The sequence below is a fragment of the Homo sapiens genome, chromosome 4 (genome assembly GCF_000001405.40).
Source record: "Homo sapiens chromosome 4, GRCh38.p14 Primary Assembly".
NCBI classification, from domain to species: Eukaryota; Metazoa; Chordata; class Mammalia; order Primates; family Hominidae; genus Homo; species Homo sapiens.
Window position 1 is genome coordinate 78,368,866 of NC_000004.12, and position 22,385 is coordinate 78,391,250.

At 39.9% G+C, this 22,385-nt stretch overlaps 1 protein-coding gene and 1 pseudogene across 2 annotated transcripts in view; both read left to right on the plus strand.

The window, feature by feature from the left end:
- FRAS1 (Fraser extracellular matrix complex subunit 1) overlaps positions 1-22,385 on the plus strand; it is a 486,947-nt gene that overhangs the window by 311,543 nt on the left and 153,019 nt on the right. For both annotated transcript variants that reach the window (NM_025074.7, NM_001166133.2), the window contains exons 23-29: positions 973-1,119; positions 3,853-3,993; positions 5,246-5,386; positions 6,874-7,014; positions 10,861-11,131; positions 15,194-15,278; positions 18,510-18,836. In NM_025074.7, coding sequence (NP_079350.5) covers positions 973-1,119; positions 3,853-3,993; positions 5,246-5,386; positions 6,874-7,014; positions 10,861-11,131; positions 15,194-15,278; positions 18,510-18,836 — 1,253 coding nt within the window. The remainder of the gene's footprint in view (positions 1-972; positions 1,120-3,852; positions 3,994-5,245; positions 5,387-6,873; positions 7,015-10,860; positions 11,132-15,193; positions 15,279-18,509; positions 18,837-22,385) is intronic.
- Positions 10,325-10,793, plus strand: MICOS10P4 (MICOS10 pseudogene 4; annotated as a pseudogene).

Below are 22,385 nucleotides of genomic sequence, written 5' to 3' on the forward strand. Positions count from 1 at the left end.
TGGTAGGGGAGCAATATTTGCAGAAATGATGGCTGGAAATTTTCCAGGATTGAAAAATGACATTGAGTTTGAAGGCGAAAGTGTACTCTGAAACCTGAGCTGTATGAATTTTAAAACCCACTCTGGTGGATGCATGGAAAATGGATTGCAAGGGGGTCAGAGCGGAGATGGGGAAACCAATTAGGAGGCTGTGATAGTAGTTCAGCAGGGGATGATGATGGCTTAGAAATATTGGCATTTGTGGATATGGAAAAAAGCAAAAAGTTCTGAGAGTTATATCGGAGAGTTTGAATAAATAGGATCCAGTGAGTAACTGGATTAGGAGTCAGGGAAAGAGAGGTGTCAAGATAGACTTGGAGGTTTCTGGCATGAACAACTGTGTAGATGGAGAAATGCCAGTTGTTAAATAAGGGAAGATGGAAGCATGACCAGATTGGGGGATCATCCCTGAATGTCAGAGTTATGTGGCTGGGTTCTAAGAGTTGTAACTAGGCAAATCAATAAACCAGTTCACCTTCAAGTCCTTTGTATCTTAAAGTATGGGATTTCCCAAGCTCCCCAATAAAGTTGGTGCCTAATTTTAATGTTGCCATCACACAAAAACCTGAATCTACATTATGAACTTAAGGGGGCTTGATTCCTGAAGAAGTAAGGTTTAAGTTCTGAACTATAATTCCAGGGATCTTAGAGTAAGCATAAATTCTGTTGCTGAATCACAGAGCAATTTGGATATGGGATTTCCATTATTGGGTTTGCACTTTATATTCTTTGTAAAATAAGATTACCCTTTTCTATTTCGGAAACTAATATTTTCTGTTTTTGTTGATCACAGGGGAGGGCTATGAGCCATAATGAAATGTAGAGCAGGTTGGAACAAGGCTTTGTTCCTATGCAACATCTGTCTAGGTTTGATCAGTGCTTCAGTATTTGCAATTGTAATCATCTGGTCATTTTCTTTTCCTGTCTGCTCAGCATGCAACACACACTGTGGAAGCTGTGATTCACAGGCCAGCTGTACCTCCTGCCGAGATCCAAACAAGGTTCTGCTCTTTGGGGAATGTCAATACGAGAGCTGCGCCCCACAGTACTATCTTGACTTCTCCACCAACACGTGCAAAGGTAAAGCTCTTCCTGAATTGTGTAAAGATTCTTTTACACAGTGATACCACTTTACTACTGATGTCTAGTTTTCCATATTGGGAAAACACCAGTCATCATATATTTTGACTGTCTCTGATGATAGCAACAATTGTGTGTGTATGTATATATTCATTAATTCACTCCTTTATTTACTTATTAAGCATATATTTTTGAGCACCTATTTGTGTCAGATGTTGTGCCACGTCTTGATAACAAGACCAGAGGTGGCAAATTGTAAATCCTCAGGTTATATATGGCCCATAGACATGTTTTCTTTGTCTACTTAATGTTTCAATGCTTTAAAATCTTTAATTATTTGCCTTTTAAAAATCAGAAGATTTCACATACAAAAATTGAGATTTTCAAGTGTTGTTGGTTTTTTCTTAACCAGAAGCTCTGGTAATGTTGGATATGTATCCTGACAGTGAAGCTCTAGTAATGTTGGATATGTATCCTGACAGTGCAACCGTAGGTTGAAACGGTGTAGCTGTCGTCCCTGCTGGATGGAACAGGATCTCTTCAGTTCAGCAGTCCCCACCATTCCCTTTCTATCACACAAGGCCTATTCTGAAGATACATTACTTTCCTGGGCTGTAGGTGTTTGCATTTACAACTTGAGATTGCTACCTCCAAGCTTGATAAGGTCAGGAGTCGTGTCTGATGTGTTCATCTCTGCTTAACATACTTAAATGAGTGAAGACGTAGTCCCTGTCTTCAAGGAAATTTATAAGGAGATAATGTCAAATGCCAAGTGCCTTTTTCTTTGCTCTCCAGTAGTTGGAATTCTCGGGGCTTACACACTTTGAATGGTAGTGCTCAGCAACAGGAAAGCAAAGGTAAAGAACAGGTTTTACTTGCTCCTGTCCATTTCCTCATTCCTGACTCCTTCCACATTTCTCTCTATCCCTCTGATTCTGGCAGAGAAGCTAGAGCTTGGATATGGTGGTCAAACATCTGTCAAGTAAACTTAGGATGCTTTAAGGCTCTGCAAAATTGCACACTTTCCATTCCAAGAAATTCTACTTCGTTGTCAACTTAGGTGGTCTGCTGTGCTCGAGACCACAGAATTTTTTTTCTGTTTTTTTGTTTTTTTTTTTTTTTGCCTTCTAACCAGTAGCTGTCAGTTTGTGGTGAAAAACAAGATTATCACAAATCCACTCCATTATAAATGATTTCATAACTGTGCTGGCAGTTTTCAAGGCTCTGTTTTAGTCATTTTCCCTCAGGACTGATTCAGCTAAATAAAGGAATAGGATTAACTTTGTAAATCTTGGAAGCACGTGTACTGTCTTGCACATTTACCTGATTTCTTTGGGACTTAGAAATATTCTACCAAGGAAGAGAAAAGGTAACTAATGAGAGGTTTCTCCAGTTTCTTAGCAGGAATGGAAGGTGAGATCGAGGGTGGCCCTGAATGGAGATAGGTTCTCTAAGAGAAACAGTTCAGCAGCAAACATTTATTGAGTTGTTACTATATGCCAGGCACTGTGCTAAATTATTTAAATTCATTATTTCATTTTATTCTTCACATTTTATTCTTCTTAACATTATGAAATGGGTACTATTCTCACCCATGTTTTACAGGTGAGAAACCAGGATAATATAGATAAAAACATGATTGTAGGATAATATAGAGAAAAAGTAGCAAAGCCATGACTTGAATACAGACTTACCTTTCTTCAAAACCCATGCACTTAACTGTGCTATCCCATCCCATCTTCCATGCAGGTAGCACTTCCCTTACCAGCTACAACACTGGCTTTCAAACATGAGTTTTCTGACTGCGTCAGAATTGCCTGGGCCATTAAAAACAACAGCAACAGCAACAACTATAATATTCACAATAACAAGTACAGCAGCAACATGTTTTCCTGTGCCCCAACCCAACCCCTGAGACTCTGATTTGATAAATCTGATGCTGAGCCTAATCCATATTTTTTAACAACCCCCCTGGATTATTTGCATGCACATTCAAGGTTAGACCCCTCTAGAACATAAGCTCCTTGATGACAAGTTCTACACCTACCACCTTTATATTGCCCCCTCCTGCTGTTCAGTGACTATCCCATAGGTGCTTATGGAGCAAATTAACATGTAATTGAGTCCGTTCTAATGCCTAAATGAGACCTTCTATTGTTTTAGCAACCTCTTTCTTTCTGGACAGCACCTTTATGCCCCATATAATTCTGACATCATTGGTTCTTTCTGTCACTTTGGTCAATGCCTGGTTTTGAGAGATAGAAACCCATGCAGCTGGTGTTATTGGTGGCAGCAGATGCATTCTTAGTTGAGTGTCTGACATCTCTTTACCTATTGAGCATTGAGTATTTGGAAGAAGTCAGGGTTAGGTTTGTGGGGCAAGTTGGCCACTCCCTGCGGCAGGTTTTGCATGAAGACTTGATATGGCACAGGGATAAAGAACTAAGACCAGAGTGATCTGGTTTCTCAGCAGCCCTGCCAACAAGCAGGCTCAGCACAAGCATAGAGTGCTCCTTGTACATGTCCGTGTCTAACATAATTAGGGAACACTTAAACCTCAGAGAAGCATTCAGGCTACTACAAGTGGAAACCTCATTTGAGCCTACTTATCTGACATCTCTTACGTTGTCCTTATTTTACTCCTTGCAGCTGCAGACAGAGTCCTCATAAATGAACTGCTGGGTCTGAGGGTGGACAGAAAGGAAGATAATCTAATGCAGACTTTCTTTTTAGAGTGTGATTGGAGCTGCAGTGCATGCAGTGGGCCCCTGAAAACAGACTGCCTGCAGTGCATGGATGGCTATGTTCTCCAGGATGGGGCCTGCGTGGAGCAGTGCTTGTCATCATTTTACCAGGACTCGGGCCTCTGCAAGAGTAAGTGTGTAGAGGCCCTGCTCTGTGCTCAGCCATACCTTGGCCACCTCTGATTTGTACTGTTCTCAGAAGGAAACAGTGGCAAGTTTCCCCTTCTGGCTTTTTACCCCATTTCTGGTTTCTTTCCTAAGAGCTATCTTTGTTATCATGAAAATTTCCCCTTTTCATCTTCCATGCCTTAATAAGACATTTGCTAAAATTTGAGGGCAATATGGGAATCTTGGGCATATAGGACCACACAAACAGGTATGTGTTAGCTGTTACTTTCAGATTTTCTTAAAAATTGAACAGTCAGGTCCTCCAGGTGGGAAGGTGTTTGTACCCTGGGCATTTGGGCACATAGGAAGACCCGATTATTTCACTATCTGCCCCCTTCAACCCTCTGTATACCATATAGCTCACAATCATCTGTCTCTGGCCTAGTATCCCTTTTAGCCTCAACTGAACACTACAAAATTCTCAGACCCTGAAATTCCCATCAAAAGTGCACAGAGAGCATTCCTAGGAGTATTCCTGGGGGACTGAAAACTGACTTGATGAACCACGAAAGGTTGACATTTCAGCAAAACAGTACTGAGAGCCAAGGACTAATAATAATAATAATAATAATAATAATAATAATAATAATAGTTGCTTAGGCCAGGAATGGTGGCTCACGTCTGTAATCCCAACAGTTTGGGAGGCGGAGGCAGACAGATCACCTGAGGTCGTGAGTTCAAGACCAGCCTGACTAACATGGAGAAACCCCATCTCTACTAAAAATACAAAATTAGCCGAGCATGGTGGCACATGTCTGTAATCCCAGCTACTCAGGAAGGCTAAGCCAGAATCGCTTGAACCCGGGAGGCAGAGGTTGCGGTGAGCCGAGATTGTGCCACTGCACTCCAGCCTGGGCAACAAGCAAAACTCCGTCTTAAATAATAATAATAATAATAATAGTAATAGCTGCTGATATCTGTCATTCACTTTATAGTTTATCTAGCATTTTCCATGGGTGGGTAGGACAGTATATCAACCCCCATTTTATAGAGAAGAACACAGGCTCAGTGAGGTAGAGTGACTAATCCTAAGTGTCCCAGCTGGTAAGTATCATAGTGACAACCAGAACCCAGACTCCTTGACTCTTCATATGGTCCTTTGCCCAGTACACTAGGCTGTACTGCTGCTGGACATCTCATGCTGCCTTTCCACAAAGGCCTGGAGCCCCTGGAAAGCCACACAGATTCCTGATGACTTGACTTTTGTCTTTCAGACTGTGACAGCTACTGTCTCCAGTGCCAAGGTCCCCATGAGTGTACCCGCTGCAAAGGGCCATTTCTCCTCTTGGAAGCCCAGTGTGTCCAGGAATGTGGGAAGGGGTACTTTGCAGATCATGCAAAGCACAAATGCACAGGTAACTTGGAGACTGCTGATTATTCTGGAAAGAAGTGAGGGCAGCAAGTAAGTCACATGTGCTGACTCTCAGGTATCCAAGAATACTTAAATTAGAAAGCAGAATGAAAGCCCAGAGGGCTTAGCCTAAGTAATTGATGGCTTCCCATGCATATCTGCCGTATGTTGGTTAATTAGGATATAGGAGTGTAAGCCAATATTCTCTTACACAAATCAATATTGTCCCCAAAGGTCTTTATGGAAACAAAGCCAATATTTTATGGAATGTAACGCTTCTATTGATCTACAGTGAGGGATCCATTAAGAGTGGATCAGCCCTGTTGATATAGACATAGAATTTTTAGTGTTTAGACTAAATGCCCATGATTCTGACATTGGCATAAATCCTTAAAGAATGGGATTTTTGGGGACAATTCAGTGAAACACACTGGAGCTTTTATGAAACTCAAGTTGAACCCCAAGTCTTAATCTCCTTGTCCACTGGATTAGCTAAGAGAGTTTTATCAGTTTGTTCTCATCATATCTATCAAAACTTGGTTCGTATGCCCCACTGTAATACTTGACATTTAATAATGCTATTAACCCGGCATAGCATTTACATATCACTAAATTTACCCCATTTGCATTATCTAATTTAATATTCACAATGGCTTGATAAAATATCACAGACACTATGAATCCTGTCTTACAAGTGAAAGAAAAATAAGAGACTTAAAAGTGTTAATCACAGCAGCTTAAGATCAGATGTTAAGCCCAGGTTTTCTGATTCTAATCCGGGGCCCTTTAAACTATACCGTATAGCCTCTCTATAACAAAATCTCAACTAAGAAAGCAGGAAAATTAGGCAGTAAAAATGCTTCATTGAAAATTGTTAACTTGACCTGAATAAGTAATCCTATGTCCTATTAATAGCTGCTCCCCTCCAGTATTTAAAATACTATTAAATACTACTACTAAAAACAATAATAATAAGAGATACAATGGTGGTAGTAGAAAAATTGAGCCCTTCCTGTGTACCAGGCACTGTTTTCGTCATTGCACATTATAACACATGTAATCCTCCCAACAATTATTTGCACTAGGTGCTATTAATGTTCCCATTTTTAAGACAAGAAATTTATGACACCGATTGTTAAACAGAACTTGCCCAAGGTCAACAGCTGGGAAGGTTAGAGGAGGAAGCGTACCTAGAAAGAGTCTGTGCTCTTAATCACTACAAAGGTCTTTTCTTACAAGTCAATATGGTTAACTTTTTAAACAATTCATTTTTGTGTAACATTTTTAGATCTCATTGTGGAACGTGAGGAGTGTTCCTCTCTGTAGATCAGCTCCCTATATATTCTGTAGGGAAACTGTCAGTATTCTCTTTTGTTACAGTTGGGGCTCATTTGTTGCATGTGCTCTGACTCTTCTGGTTGCAAGCCCTTTATTTCTTTGTCGCTGGTGTTGCCTTGATTGAGCCTCATTTAGTGTTTCCTTTTTTAATAGCCTGCCCTCAGGGGTGCTTGCAGTGCAGCCACAGGGACCGTTGTCACCTCTGTGACCATGGGTTCTTTCTGAAGAGTGGCCTCTGTGTTTACAACTGTGTTCCTGGCTTTTCTGTCCACACCTCTAATGAAACATGTTCTGGTAAGTGCTTCTCCTCAGATGGTCTGGTGAATTTACCAATAATTTCTCTATGTGAAGGCTGAGTTTGCAGACATAATTGACTTATGTGATATAAAATGCAGCATTCCCAATTTGGGAAAACCCATGGTGCTACTAAGGAGTAAGGGACTCTTTATAGAATATGGAAAATTGGGAAATCGCAACTTCTGTAATCATTGGAAAGGAAAAGAAGCAATCTGTGCCTTAAAAGTCACAGCTATCAGATAAGAAATTGGCATAAAACTTAGCTAAGTTCCTGAACTACAGCCATGTTATAGAAAATTACATATATACAGTCACACTTTGCTTAATGATGGGGATACATTCTGAGAAATGCATCATTAAGCAGTTTCATCATTGTTTGAACTCCATGGAGTGTACTTACACAAACCTAGATGGTATAGCCTACTACACACCAAGGCTATAAAAATATAGGCTACAAACCTGTACAGCATGTGAGTGTACTGAATACTGTAGGCAATCGTAACACAATAGTAAGTATTTGTGTTTCTAAACATATCTAAAATAGAAAAGGTACAGCATAATTTTATGGGACCACCATCATATAAGTGGTCTGTTGTTGACTGAAATGTTATATAGCACATGACTGTATTTACATATAATTTATTTATATTTATATAAATTTGTATAGCTAATTATGTCAAAGTGCAGTGGTACACCCTTTTTCACACAGTAGAGATAAATTATAAATAAATAACAAATAGTATGAGGAGTCTGCTTCATGAGGTTCACATGTTTCTAGTGGATGGATTTCAGGCTACCCCGTTTGCCCTTAAAAATATGTAACATCGGCCGGGCATGGTGGCTCACGCCTGTAATCCCAGCACATTGGGAGGCCGAGGCAGGCAGATCATCTGAGGTCAGGAGTTCAAGACCAGCCTGGTCAACATGGCAAAACCCCGTCTCTACTAAAAATACAAAAATTAGCCAGGCACAGTAATGAACGCCTGTAATCCCAGCTACTCAGGAGGCTAAGGCAGGAGAATCGCTTCTTGAACCCAGGAGGTGGAGGTTGTGGTGAGCCGAGATCATGCCACTGCACTCCAGCCTGGGTGACAGAGTGAGACTCTGTCTCAAAAATAATAATAATAATAGGTAACATGTTAAGAAATGAAGCCATTCTCTTCCAACACATTAGTGGACACGTTACCTTAAATAACAAAGAGAAGTGAATTTAAATTCAGTCTTAATTTTGAATCCCAAAACCTTTATGGTGAGTAAAGCTTGGGAGGGACATTACTCTGAGTGTTTGTTGGCTTTTGAGAGTCGTTCGTCAAAAACATGAGGCATTTTTTAACACTCATATTCAATCATATTTTCTGTCTCTATATTTCTGGCCTTTAAAGATATTAAGACTTCCCCATGGGAAAAAATATTTTTGGCTTATTTTTGGGGAATCTTTCTGAAAACCCTAAGTACTTGAGAGCCAGCTTACTTCTCTCTGGGATATAAGTCCACTTGTGAAAATGAGTGCCACTCTCATTAGAGCGATCTTACAGTCGAAGTAGTCCCACTGAAACTTGGCATTTCCAAACTGTCCTGTCTGACCTAGTTGTAAAAAGGAGCACTACCAACTAAAGTCCAGGCAAAAACAACTTGCAGGAGACGGGATAAATTCTACAGCATGTTAAGAAATCCCTTTTTGTCCATCAGATGTTTCATGTGGACAAAGATTATAAAATTGTAAGACAAGGTATGTGTATTTCACATGAATTCTAAGTATGAGCCCCTGATAATCCTACTCCAGTGTAAATTAACTGGTGCTATTCTAGGAAATGGTAGCAAACACCAGCCTCTTTACTTGCCCTTGGCAGGTCTGATGTGGCAGGTGCATCAGGATAGGACTGTGGTTCTCAAAGCCAGCAGCCCGCTAGGATTACCTGCTGAGTTTGTAAAATTCCCGAGGTCCTACCCAAGAACATCCAAGTCAGAAGCTCTGGCAGTGGAGCCCAACTGTCAGTATTGTTTTAAAAGATCCCTATATGATTCTTATTATTATTGAGATGTAATTTACATACCATAAAATTCATGCTTTAAAGTATACAATTCAGTGGTTTTTAGTGTATTCACAAAGTTGTGCAACTATCACCACTACCTATTTCCAAAACATTTTCATCACTCTAAAAGGAAATCCCATAATATTAGCAGTTTCTCTCCGCTCCTGTCTCAACCCAGTCCCTGGAAACCACTAATCTCCTTCTGTCTCTAGGTATTTGCCTATTCTAGACATCTCACATAAATGGAACTTACAATATATGGCCTTTTATGTATGGCTGCTTTTACTTAGCATAATATTTTCAAGGTTCATCCATATGATATCATGAATCAGCACATCATTCCTTTTTCTTTCTGTAGATGAGTAATATTACATTTTGTGACATACCACATTTTATTTATCCATTAAACAATGAATGGACTTTTGAGTTGATTTCACTTTTTGACTATTATGAGTAATGCTGCTATGAACATTTGTGTACAAGTTTTGTGTGGACAAATGTTTTCAATTCTCTTGGGTTTATATACCCAGGAGTGGAATTGCTGTGTCCTTTGGTAACTGTATTTAATTGAGGAACTGTCCAACTGTTTTCCCAAGTGACTACACCATTTTACACTCCCATCAGTAATCCATGAGGTTTTGATTTCTCCACGACCTAACAATTTTCATTGTCTTTCCTAGTGGAAGTGAAGTGATATCTTATTGTGTTTATGATTTTGCACCTGCTCATGTGCTTATTGGCCTTTTGTGTATCTTCTTTGAAGAAATGCCTATTCAAATTCTTCACCCATTTTAAAAATTGGGTTTTTCATTTTCTATTGTTGAGTTATAGGAGTTCTTTATATATTCTTGACACAAGTCCCTTTGTAGATATATGATTTGCATGTTTACTCCCATTCTGTGGGTTGTCTTTTCACTTTCTCATGGGTGTCCTTTGAATATAAAAAATTTACATTTTGATGATGTCCATTTATTTTTTCTTTTGTCACATGTGCTTTTTGTGTCTTATCTAAGAAAGCATTGTCTACTTCAAAATCGTAAAAATGTACTCCTATATTTTCTTCTAAGAGTTTTATAGTTTAACGATTACATTGAAGTCCTATGCTCTTGCCGTGCATCCAGTGTGGTAACCACTGGGAGGCTTATTGTATACCATAGCCCAGAATTTCATCTGTGCAGCTCTGAATTTACAACATTACAAGCTTATTTAACATTTTTAAGAAAAGGTTGGCACACGGAGGGCAGCTGAAAGGAAAGCTGGAGCTGCCTGTAAGAGGGGAACATGTCTGAGTCAGAGCCACAGCTCAGCAGGAAGTGAGAGTGGTGTTTGGCAGATGCGGTGGTAAAGATAGGTACTGGTTTGGAATTAGGAATTGTTTTCTCACCTAAGCTTCTTTAAAAGAAGAAAGTAGCCATTAGCCTTTAGTTTGGCATGGAATTAGGAATGGCCTACTCCAGCCATCGGCATAGTTTCCAGGCTCCATGTCTTCTATATGGAACGTGTGTCAAAGAACAGGAGCAGTTACTCACACCTGAGGACCTCCCACTGGCAGGCAAAGAGACATCATGTGTATTCTTCAGGAATACCGAAGTTCCCTAGAGCGAGCTGACGGTTGTGGTCTTTTGTAACAATGTAATGCTATAAACTCCAGCACACTGTTTATGCAGTGAAATCAACTCTGTTTCTTATTTTGTGTTTATTCTCTGGAAATTGTAAGGAGGTGGTCTGAAAAAATAAACAAAATAAGGGGAAAGTGACCTAATTAGTGAAGGTACCATAAGCTTGACCTTTGGATTCATATGTTTTTCAGGCAAAATACACACCCCTAGTCTTCATGTGAATGGTTCCCTGATCCTCCCAATTGGTTCAATAAAGCCACTGGATTTTTCCCTCCTGAATGTCCAAGACCAGGAGGGTAGGGTCGAAGATCTCCTATTTCATGTTGTGAGCACTCCCACCAATGGTCAGCTAGTGCTCTCAAGAAATGGAAAAGAGGTTCAGCTGGACAAGGCTGGCCGTTTTAGCTGGAAAGATGTGAACGAGAAGAAAGTGCGTTTTGTGCACAGCAAAGAAAAACTCAGGTGACTCTGTGTTCTGTTGTTTTCTTCCTGCCTCCTTTCCATCATTGCTTTTCCACTCCTCCACCCTGTCCCAGCCTCTCTGTCTCAATAGCTAACCCTTCTCATCTGGGGAAGATCAATACTCCACAAGCCCAAATACTCTCAGCTGCCTGTCATCATTTCCCTGTGATTGCTCAAAGAGCGTGCATCTGTTAGAGACATTTTCGTTTTCTCACATAATTGTGGGTAATTCTCTGATGCGACAGAAAAGTCCTGATACAATTACCCAGATTTTTGGCCCAGCAGAAACAAAACTGGTCATATAACTAGATGTTACAGCTGCTTCTTCAACATTGGGGCAATGTACTGGCGACAGAGAGAGAGGATGGAGCACATTCTTTTCAAGGTGTTGTATGGTCTCTGGGATTTTAGAGTTGAAAGGAAACTTAGAATCACAGTGAACTTTTTATTATCCACATTATGGAATTAATTGTGGTTAATTTTTAAGCCTGATCCAGTTTTCCCCTGATGCTTAGCACACTTCTGGCTGCCTTCCCCACCCCAGCTGACATATGCTTCAGGAATGCAGTTGAATGTTAACACCAACCCAAGCAAATACAGCTATATAATTAGCAGGGTAAATCTACTCCACAGAAGTCAGAGGGTGCCCCCCAAAGATTAGCCTCTTGGATTATCCTTCATCCTGCTCTGCTTCATTAGTGCAGATAATTCAGCATAGACTCTATGTATAAACAAGGAGTTGAAACGCTGAAACAGTGACAAGGACACAGTGAGTATTTTTACTGTCAACACTAACCTTGAGGGTTGGTTGGTTTTGAGGTTTGGGCTGGGAGATAGGTGAGGAGAAAAGTAGATGGCACTGTCTCTATTGTAATTCAGAGGTGATGATGCCAGTGACCTTGGAAGATCATATTATAGGAATAAGAACAACTAGCATTTATGGAATGCTAACTTTGAGCCAGGCATCATGTTAGGCACTTTACATGAACTATGTATCTCATGTTGCTAGTCTACAGATAAGGAAACTGAGGCCTTGAGAGTATAGGTTATCTTGCCCAAGACCTCTCAACATGTGTGTGCAGAGCTGAGACTCCAAGCCAAGACTGATTCCACAATGCATGCCTTTAGCCACAATGATTTCTGCCTCCCTAATATACTAGGAACAATAGGCATGCTTCCATCCTCGAAGGACAAAAGGTCACTTCATAGAGAAGTATTGCTACAGAGATGGAGCTTAAAACTCTGGTGTTTGATGCCATAGACTCTTCAAATTCCTACTCTATATTCTGCATTCATTTTTACTATAAGTATTATTATTGTTATTTGAGACAGAATCTCACTCTGTCACTCAGGCTGGAGTACAGTGGCACGATCTTGGCTCACTGCAACCTCTGCCTCTTGGGTTGCCTCAGCCTCCTGAGTAGCTGGGACTACAGGCACATGCCACCATACCCAGCTAATTTTTGTATTTTTAGAAGAGACAGAGTTTCACTGTATTTGCCAGGCTGGTCTCGAACTCCTGACTGCAAGTGATCTGCCTGCCTTGGCCTCCCAAAGTGCTGCAATTACATGTGTGAGCTGCAACACCTGGCCTATTCTTAAGTATTTCTATCACACAGACACAGAAACACAGAGCTATACAACTCTGTATAGTAGTCACTTTTCTTGCAGTCACTTATGAAAAGCGTAAAGCTTCGTAGACAACCGAGATCAACCCTCTTGTCTATTTAACATCTTTAACCTCTCATCACCTGTTTTTTTGTGGAATCATAGCTTTGTACCCCTAAATGGGACAAAGAATGGCAGTTTAGGAAATCCTCACAGTACTCTTTTTGGGGTACCCATTTTAATACTGGATTTTCTTTATCCAACAAAAGAAAGAATGAGAGGTATAATAAAAATTCAGCAAAAGAAAGAATGAGAAGAATAATAAAACGAGGTTGGTAGAAACCCATGGAAAATAAAATTATTGAAGTCTCTGAATAATGCAAAACAAAAGGGCAACCTGCCACATCAGTTTGTGTTTTGTTTTGTTTTTAACCATGAAGACACTGACCGTGATTCTTTAGGATTGGATTCCTTTGGGATTAGAATGCTTCTGTGGAGTAAAAGACAACTTATAAGTGTAGTTGCCATCACTGGAACAAAATGGCATTGCTGATATACTGAACACTGTTATTGGAACCTCAGTGCCACCAAAAATCACTTACCCTTATTTGATAGGAAGTACCACCCTTTCTTTTTTCAGGGGTGGTACTCTCATCAGTTAATAAAATAAGGCATTATTTAATAAAATAAAATAATTTTTAAAAATGATAAATAATGTATTTTATTTATAATGCTGTATTTTATTTATAATGCTGTATTTTATTAATTGATGGAAGTACCACCCCTGAACAAGGAAGGGGTGGTACTTTCAATCAAATAACAGTGATATACTGAACACTGTTATTGGAACCTCAGTGCCACCAAAAATCATTTTTAAAAAACTATTTTTGTCTTCCCTTCTCTTCTGTCCTGGAAGACAATCCATCAGTTACATTCTCTTGAAGCCTGAGGTGGTGGTGGAGAGGGACAGGACTTAAATGGGACAGAAAATGAAGGGAAGATAGAAGAGAAGGGAAGACAAGAATCATTTTTTAAAAAGCAATCACGTTTATTGAGGTATAATTTGCATTCAATAAAATCCTCCATTTTGAAGTGTGTTGTTCTATAAATTTTAATAACTGTATACAGTTTCGCAGTCTTGTGACCACAACCATAGTCAATATGTAAAATAGTTCCGTAACCCCAAAAGTCTTTTTATAGTTGCTCCTTTACCCCTAGTCACTGGTGACCACTGATCCATTTTTACTGCTGAGTTTTGTGCTTTTTAAAATGTTAGGTGAATGGAATCAAACAATATGTAGCCTTTTGTTTCTGTCTTTTGCCATAATGCTTTTCAGATCCATCCACATTCTTTCATGTATAAATAGTAGTTCCAAGAATAACTTCTAAAGAACTTTTAAAACAATGGTCCCTCTAGTAGACTAGAATTCAAAAATCCCCATAATGCAGTAGTCCTATATCTTACCATTCAGCAGCGAGTTCTGTGCTTGGTTTGGCATTGAAGGTGGGTAAGTCTTACCTTCCCTCCTAGCAGTCTCTGAAGCTGCTTGAACAACGGCTTATTTTATTACTAATTGGGACTTTTTGGTTGCAAGTAATGGAAGTAAACTTGAAGTAGATTAGCAAAAATGTAAGACTTGTTATAACATTGCAGGGGTGGCTCAGATCTCAAAGGCACCAAGGGCAATTGTGCTCCAGGACAGTCTGGAAGCAAGGACTGGGAAGGGGAAGCAGGAATCAATTCTTCTCTCATCCCTGTGTCTCTTTGCTTATATTTGCTTATAGGCTTCATTCATTTCTCTATTACACTCAGGCTTGTTCTACATAATAGACTCTGGTTGTCCTGTAGTCAGATGCTGAGACTGACTGCTGGCTCTCGGGCCAGTTGCAAATCGCCAGGGAAGAATCAGCCATCCTTCCCTAGTCTGTCCACAATGACTATGAGTAGGCTGGTGGGGAGTGAGGGGAGATGAACAGCCGTGTAATACAGACATTGCAAATGTTGTTACTAGGGGCCCACTCACATGAATTGGGCAGGAGTTAGGAAGAGCATTTGTTGGGAAGAGGGAATCGTGGAGAACTGGTCAGAGACTATAAAAGATTCCTTTCAATTCTTCAATTTAACCATTAGCCTACAATATATTACTAATCTGCCTTGGCCTGACAACTAATTTTTCACCCTTTATTCAGTTTAGAAAGATAGGAAACAAAATGTTTACATAATTATTATTATTGTTATAAGGAGATTTAAGAACACACAGTATTTTTACCTGAATCTTACTATGTTCATCTTTATCTGGTAGTTTTTTCTTTATAGTATGAGTGTGACATTACTGCAGCAGTTTGATCCAAATTCTTACCTACACATAACCTGAAAATGTTTTTAAGCCTTTTCTGTGTAAAGTCTAATGTAATGATTGTATTTTCTTATTCCTTTCTTTGGGACTTCTTTAGGAAAGGTTACCTTTTCCTGAAAATTAGTGACCAGCAGTTCTTCTCTGAGCCACAGCTGATCAACATACAAGCATTTTCAACACAGGTAATAAAAATGGCCACGTAATTAATAATTTTACATGACTACTAGTTCTCAAGCACGAAATCTAGGTTTCCTGTGGATTTAATGAAAATTATTGCATTAAATTAATCTAGTCTTGGTTTCCTCTTGAGATGCCACTGGAGTAATTTTTAGGACTTCTGGGTAATAACAACAGCAGCAACCAAAATTACTAATACTTCTCTAGTACTTAGTGTTATAGTCTTAGTGTTTCACGTAAGTAACTCAGTTAATCCTTATGCCAATATTATGAGGTATTATTGTCTCCAATTTACAGACAAGGAAACAAAGTCACAAGAAGGCGACATAACATGTCTGTGGTAATATAGCTAATAAATAGGGAGTCAATGTTTGTGCCCAGTAAATCTGGCTACAGAGGCGGTGTTCTTAACCGTTATATTATGACGCATAACTTTACTATACTAAATCTGCTACCAGCCCTTCCAAATAGTTGGCAGGGTGCAGTGGCTCATGCCTATAATCTCAGCACTTTGGGAGGCTGAGGCAGGTGGATTGCTTGGGCCCAGGAGTTTGAGGCCAGCCTGGGCAACATGGCGAAACCCCGTCTATACCGAAACAAAAAAAAAAAATACAAAAAATTATCTGGGCCCAGTGATGCATTCCTATAGTCCCAGCTACTTGGGGAGCTGAGGTGGGAGGATCACCTGAGCTCAGGGAGGTTGAGGCTGCAATGAATGACGATCATGCCACCGTGCCCCAGCCTGAGCAACACAGTGAGACCCTGTCTCAAAAAAAAAAAAAAAAAAAAAAGACTGTCTTTATCTTTAGGTAAAGGAGTTTGTTTTATCTCTCTCTAGTATGTGGAATTTGCAGCAGTTAGAGAATATTATTAAGGATCTACTTAAATGAGGCTCTAGTGTGCCAGTGTGGCCATCAACAAAACACAGACATAAGGAAGTCATGGTAGATGCTATAAAGCTCAGTGTGATGGCCCTTCAAACTCACCTCTCATCATTCATCTCCATCAAGTTGTACTTACGGGTCCAGAATACATATAGTTGTAGCTGCTCTAGAAACTGGGCTTGAGGGATTGAAGAGCCGAAATGTATGAAGAATAGGGAAATAGGTATATTCATATGTTATGAAAAGCAAGAGAGTGGAATATTCTCCTGGGGAACCAAGACTAGCTAAATATCCAGATCTCAGTATCATGTTATTCATGATTCAAGGAAGGACACTAGATGATTGTTTTTCATCTGATGTTTTTATATCTTTGGTCCAAAAATGAAAGGATCATGGATAACAACATAGACTTGAACCAGTGGTGGCTGCAAAATGGTATTAATAGCCCAGTTCACCTCTTCTTGATGGTATTATCACATCAGGGATAAATTGGAGTTTAATGATTTGAAAATGATCCTAAGTTAATTTGATCTCATGGGTGGGCAAAATATATAAATTTTGTTTTAATTAAAACTAAAACAGGCTGGGCTCAGTGGCTTATGCCTGTAATCCCAGCAATTTGGGAGGCTGAAATGCATGGTCACCTGAGGTCAGAAGTTCGAGACCAGCCTGGCAAACATGGTGAAACCGCGTCTCTACTGAAAATACAAAAATTAGCCGGGCATGGTGGTGGACACCTGTAATCCCAGCTACTCGGGAGGCTGAGGCAGGAGACTCGCTTGAACCCGGGAGGCAGAGGTTGCAGTGAGCTGAGATCGTGCCACTGCACTCCAGCCTGGGCAACAGAGTGAGACTCTGTCTAAAAAAAAAAAAAAAAAGCTGAAACAGGTGATCTCTGTAAATTTAGGACAGAGGGCTACATCCAGTCTTACAACTTACTGGTTTAGATGTTTCTCAGTCCTTACACTCAGAAACTTTGTTTCGTTCTTTTTGTTTGAGCTAATAAAGTTACTCCAGTGAAAGATCAAAGGTAGATATTGGCAAGTCTTCCTAATCTGACATGGTGAGTTCCCATGGTTCCCCAAGTGTGGCTTGTGTGTTTTTCCACAATCAAGTGAGTAAATAAGGAGAACATTTAATTTTATTTATTATATGAGAAACTTTTATCATTTTAAGTCTTTAAAATGGAATTTTAGAAAATCATTTTAACTTATTTTCATTCCTTTAAATTTCTGTGACATTGCAATATGGTCTTGAGCCTCTCTGAAATTTTCTCATGCAAGTTAATTTCGTCTTTTCCATTTGTGAATTTTGACATCATCTTTGACTTTTCCTCTTTCAGAGTAGGAGGGGTCACTCTTTCCCATGTATAGAATCACAGCTGTAGAATTCTCACTTGAGAATTCTAAAGACTAACTATCATCTAATTTCCCACTATGTAACTATTATAGTGATGTATTAGACATTCCTTTAATAGAGATTGTAATTTCCAGGAGGCCAGGAGGGTGCTTGGGTAGTTTTAAAAGAAAGCCATTTGGATTAAAGAAAGCAGTGTGTTGAGAAAAGTCCTAGATGGTTCCACTTCAAATGATATTTTTTTAAAAACTGAAATAATATTTTCTTTGGCTTCTGGCCTCAATTTTTTTGGGTGAGTTTTTTTTCTGTTGTGGTTCATTAGCTTTTATCTTTATGAAATAACATTTTATTTGCTTACTCAACTTGGTGGGAGGTAACCTGACAATCCTAAGAAAAAGATATTAAATTTTACTATAATATATTAGCCTTGTCACATGAATTAGCCAGGTGGTTGCCTTACTCACCTAGACCATAATCTTGGCACACTTTATAACCTGAGTTGGGGTGGGGCTCTGTCAAGATTTGGATGAGAAAACTGAAGAAAATTACTGGGAGGGACTAGAAACAGCATGAGCTCAGGATGCAAAAGTAGCTTCCTCAGAGTCAGTATACCACAACATGGCCTGGAGTGAAGTGTGTCCTCCCAAAGGCAAGTCCAAAAATTTCATACCTCTTATTAGTCTCTTTTGGGATAAATTTAAGTCAGGATAGCAGAGAAATTAGAGATTTAGAAGCTAGCAGCTCTCACCAGTTGTCTCTCAAGTCTTGAAGTAGCTTGATAAACCTCTAGAACCCAGAGGTGTGAAGTAACCTTAGTTGTTGTGTTCCTGTGAGTGACCACACCTCTGACGAATGTGTTCACCATAGAACAGTTTGGTGCTTTGCTAGAACACTTAGAGTTTCTCAAAAAGTATAGGAATAACAATCAGGTATCTAGTCCACTGGATTGTCCTTTCTTTCCCTCTTAACTGACTCTTCTTCCCTTCAACTCCACAGGCCCCCTATGTGCTGAGAAATGAAGTTCTCCACATTAGCAGAGGAGAGAGGGCAACCATCACCACCCAGATGCTTGACATCCGAGATGATGACAACCCACAGGATGTGGTCATTGAAATAATCGATCCTCCACTTCATGGCCAATTGCTTCAGACACTTCAGTCCCCGGCAACCCCTATCTATCAATTCCAGCTGGATGAACTCTCTAGAGGCCTTCTCCACTATGCTCATGATGGTTCAGACAGCACATCCGATGTTGCAGTCTTGCAGGCCAATGATGGACACTCCTTCCATAATATACTGTTCCAAGTGAAGACCGTGCCTCAGGTAGGTGTCATTCCTAGAGTTACAGTTTCTTTGCACCTAGATGTGAACTTCTACGGTTGATATTATTTTATGATACTCACAAAGTTAAGATATGGGTAGTCATTCACTTATTCAAATATAACCTATTATATAGAGGGCACTATATATCTAGTTAGGAGCACCCTTGATCTGAAAGACCTGTCCCCATGTTCTCTACAAATTGGGACACTTTTGAACCTTTTTTGTTGAGGTACTGCCATAAGAACGTGTTATTATCCACTAATCCTTTTGTCTCCTGCCTGAGCATAACCATAAGAATCAAGATATTTCTGTTTTTATCTGCCCCTCAAAAACAGCTCATGAGGCCAGGTGTGGTGGCTCACGCCTCTAATCCCAGCACTTTGGGAGGCTGAGGTGGGTGGATCACGAGGTCAGGAGATCAAGACCATCCTGGCTAACACGGTGAAACCCCGTCTCTACTGAAAATACAAAAAATTCGCTGGGCGTGGTGGCGGGTGCCTGTAGTCCTAGCTACTCGGGAGGCTGAGGCAGGAGAATGGCGTGAACCCAGGAGGCAGAGCTTGCAGTGAGCCGAGATCGCGCCACTGCACTCCAGCCTGGGTGACAGAGAGAGACTCCGTCTCAAAAACCAAAAAAAAAAAAAAACAAAAAAAACCCAGCTCATCAAATGTGAAGTTCATAGTCAGATAATCTGAATGACTCAAAAACGTTGAGTTCAGCCATTCTGTTAGCTCAACTAAAGTAGGATGAGCAAACTCTTTTGGTAATCCTAGGGATCTTTGCCCTAGGGAGTAGGAGCCAATAAAGAGCATTGGGCCAGGTGCAGTGGCTCATGCCTGTAATCTCAGCACTTTGGGAGGTTGAGGTAAGGGGATCACTTGAGCTCAGGAGTTTGAGACCAGCGTGAGCAACGTGGAGAAATCTTGTCTCTACTAAAGTTTTTTTTTTTTTTTTAAATTAGCTGGGTGCAATGGCATGCACCTATAGTCTCCACTACTCAGAAGGCTGAGGTGGGAGGATCACTTTAACCCAGAAGTTCCAGGTTGCAGTGAGCCATGATCACACTACTGTACTCCAGCGTGGATGACAGAGCAAGGCCCTATCTCTAAATAAATAAATAAATAGCATTTTTGCTCAGCCTGAGTCATTGACATGCCACCTTTTTATGTTTTCGCCATATCCACAAGCACCTGTACTATTATTTACTTAATATTTTTCTTTGTATCAACTTACTTTTTATTGTAGCCTCATCTTAATAAATAATACTTATGAAATCATGGGCTTAATGTAGAATTATACTTTTTTTCTAAAATATGAAAAATAATACATAACCATTCTACAACATTTTGTCCATATGCTACTGAAAATGTTCTTGGACACTGCAAATGAGATGGCTCTCACACTTTAGGAAATACTAGGCTGAGCCATTGCTAGACCAAAGGGACACGAAAAACATTTTCAAAACTAGTTGATGTTTCACTGGATGCCCTTTACTCAGTTGCATCAAGAATGGCTCTTTCTCATGGTAGTAGATTGGGAAACATAAATCTTAAACAACCTTTTATTTCAAATATCACTGCCTACTGAGGTGTCATTAATGACTAGCTAGAGAGACTGGTTTGTTGAGGACAGTTTAAAACCACTTGTCACTTTCTCATCAGTGATCACTCAAAATTTGCGATTGATCCGATTGAGCCTCATGAAGGTGAACAGCTGAATCTAATATGATCTGCTAGGTAATTTCTCAGTTTCCTGTCTCGTTATTTTCAGCTGCTGAAAGCAGTGAAGGTGGCATAGGAGAGATGGGAGTGAGTGAAAGCTGATGATGAGATGGAGTTGGCAGATAGCCACCTTGCAACTCATCCTAATTATCACTCTTGCGATGGCCCTGGGAGATGAGGTTTAGTTCTGGACAGATGAAGTCTAGACAGAGAGAAGTTTTTGTTTCTTCGTTCTTGGTTTCTTTCTAAAGGTTGTTAGAGGATTTCAGTGCCACCCTAGCAGCTGCCTTTCCTATTGTGGCTTCCATCTCCACGTTTGGAGCTCAGTTCAGTGTGTTGCACAACCATTTTGTGTGGAATGGCCCAAGATGGAAGGACATTTCTAGGGTTTTAGCTGCTTTGACTACCAGAACAAAACCAAGAAAAATGGAAATTTAATTCATAAATAAAGCACAAGACACAGAGTTTTGGGATCCTTGTGACTTGTGAGTCATGTAGGTATTTTCTATGTCTGTCTGTGATACCTGAAAAGTGAATTTAAGTTGTGCTCTGGGCCCCTTTTCATCCCTCTCTCCTGTATTGCTGTGATTACCTGCCCATGGATTGGAATAATGAAACCCATGACCAGAGCCTCAGCATTCATCAGGATGTACTAATAATACATCTGACTGCAATACTGGCAACATTATACAAATGTGTACTATTTTTCCTCTTAGGAATTCAAAATATTTTTTCCTTATATCTCTTTTACTGATCTTTACAATGTCTTGGGGAAGAAGGTTAGAGTAGAGGCTATGGGACCTTAATTTTTCTAATGGAGATTCTATTATGGGTGGAAGTTTTTTGTTTTGTTTTTGATGTTAGGCACTAAAGCTTGATGGGAATTATTCCATTTGATCTTCATGATCACTCTGTGATGTTTGTACAGTTATTATCCATAATTTTCCAAAAGAGGAAACTGAAGCACAAAGAGGTTCAAAAACATTCATTTTCATAAAGATACTTAGTGCTGGAGCTATGATTTCATCTCAAGTGTGTCTGCCTCCTACATTTAACCATGAGACTCTTTTCATTCCAGCTAGTGTTTTTCAGTGTGTTGGTCATATATATTCTTATCCCCTTGATGGATAGAATAAAGACAGTAATTTAGTCATTTTCTCAATGTTCTATCCAAGCTGGGCCCCAAGCCTTCTGTAATCTTTCCTCTGAACTCACTGTATCTTGTTACAAGTGAGAGTATTTATAATCATTAAGTCTTCCAGGCCCAAGAAGAAAAAAATGCCTCAACTCTTATGGCTTCTTGTAGATGCATTGTCAGACATGACTGATTCATTCTAACAGCCATTAGTGAAGATGGGCATGTAAGTTCTTACCCTGTGGCTACCTAGTTATTAAACCTGGAGTGAGCTGATAGTTTAAATGGAATGGCCAAGTGGCTTGTGTTTAATTCCTAGTGAATGAATGTACGAATTACTCCTGATATTCAACAGAAAACACAACCTGTCAAGGTAACTAGGGAGGGATAGAAAAAGGAAGCTTTGTGTGAACAGGGACTATTCCAGTCTTACTCCCCTGAGCAGAGCACATCGTAGGAGTTCAGTACCTTTTTTGGTTTTTTTTGGATGGATGGGTAATGGATGGATGCAATGGCTTGAGTGAGGCTGGTGCCTGTGTTCCTGCCTTCCAATTCATCTCTTGCATCAGATGAGAAGCCCTTGGGGCACCTCTGTGATAGCCCACCTGGGAATGGGTAGAGGAGCTGTCAGTTCAACCCTTGTTTTCCAAGTTCTACATCACTTCCCCCAAACTTAAGTTTTTATCTTTGGCC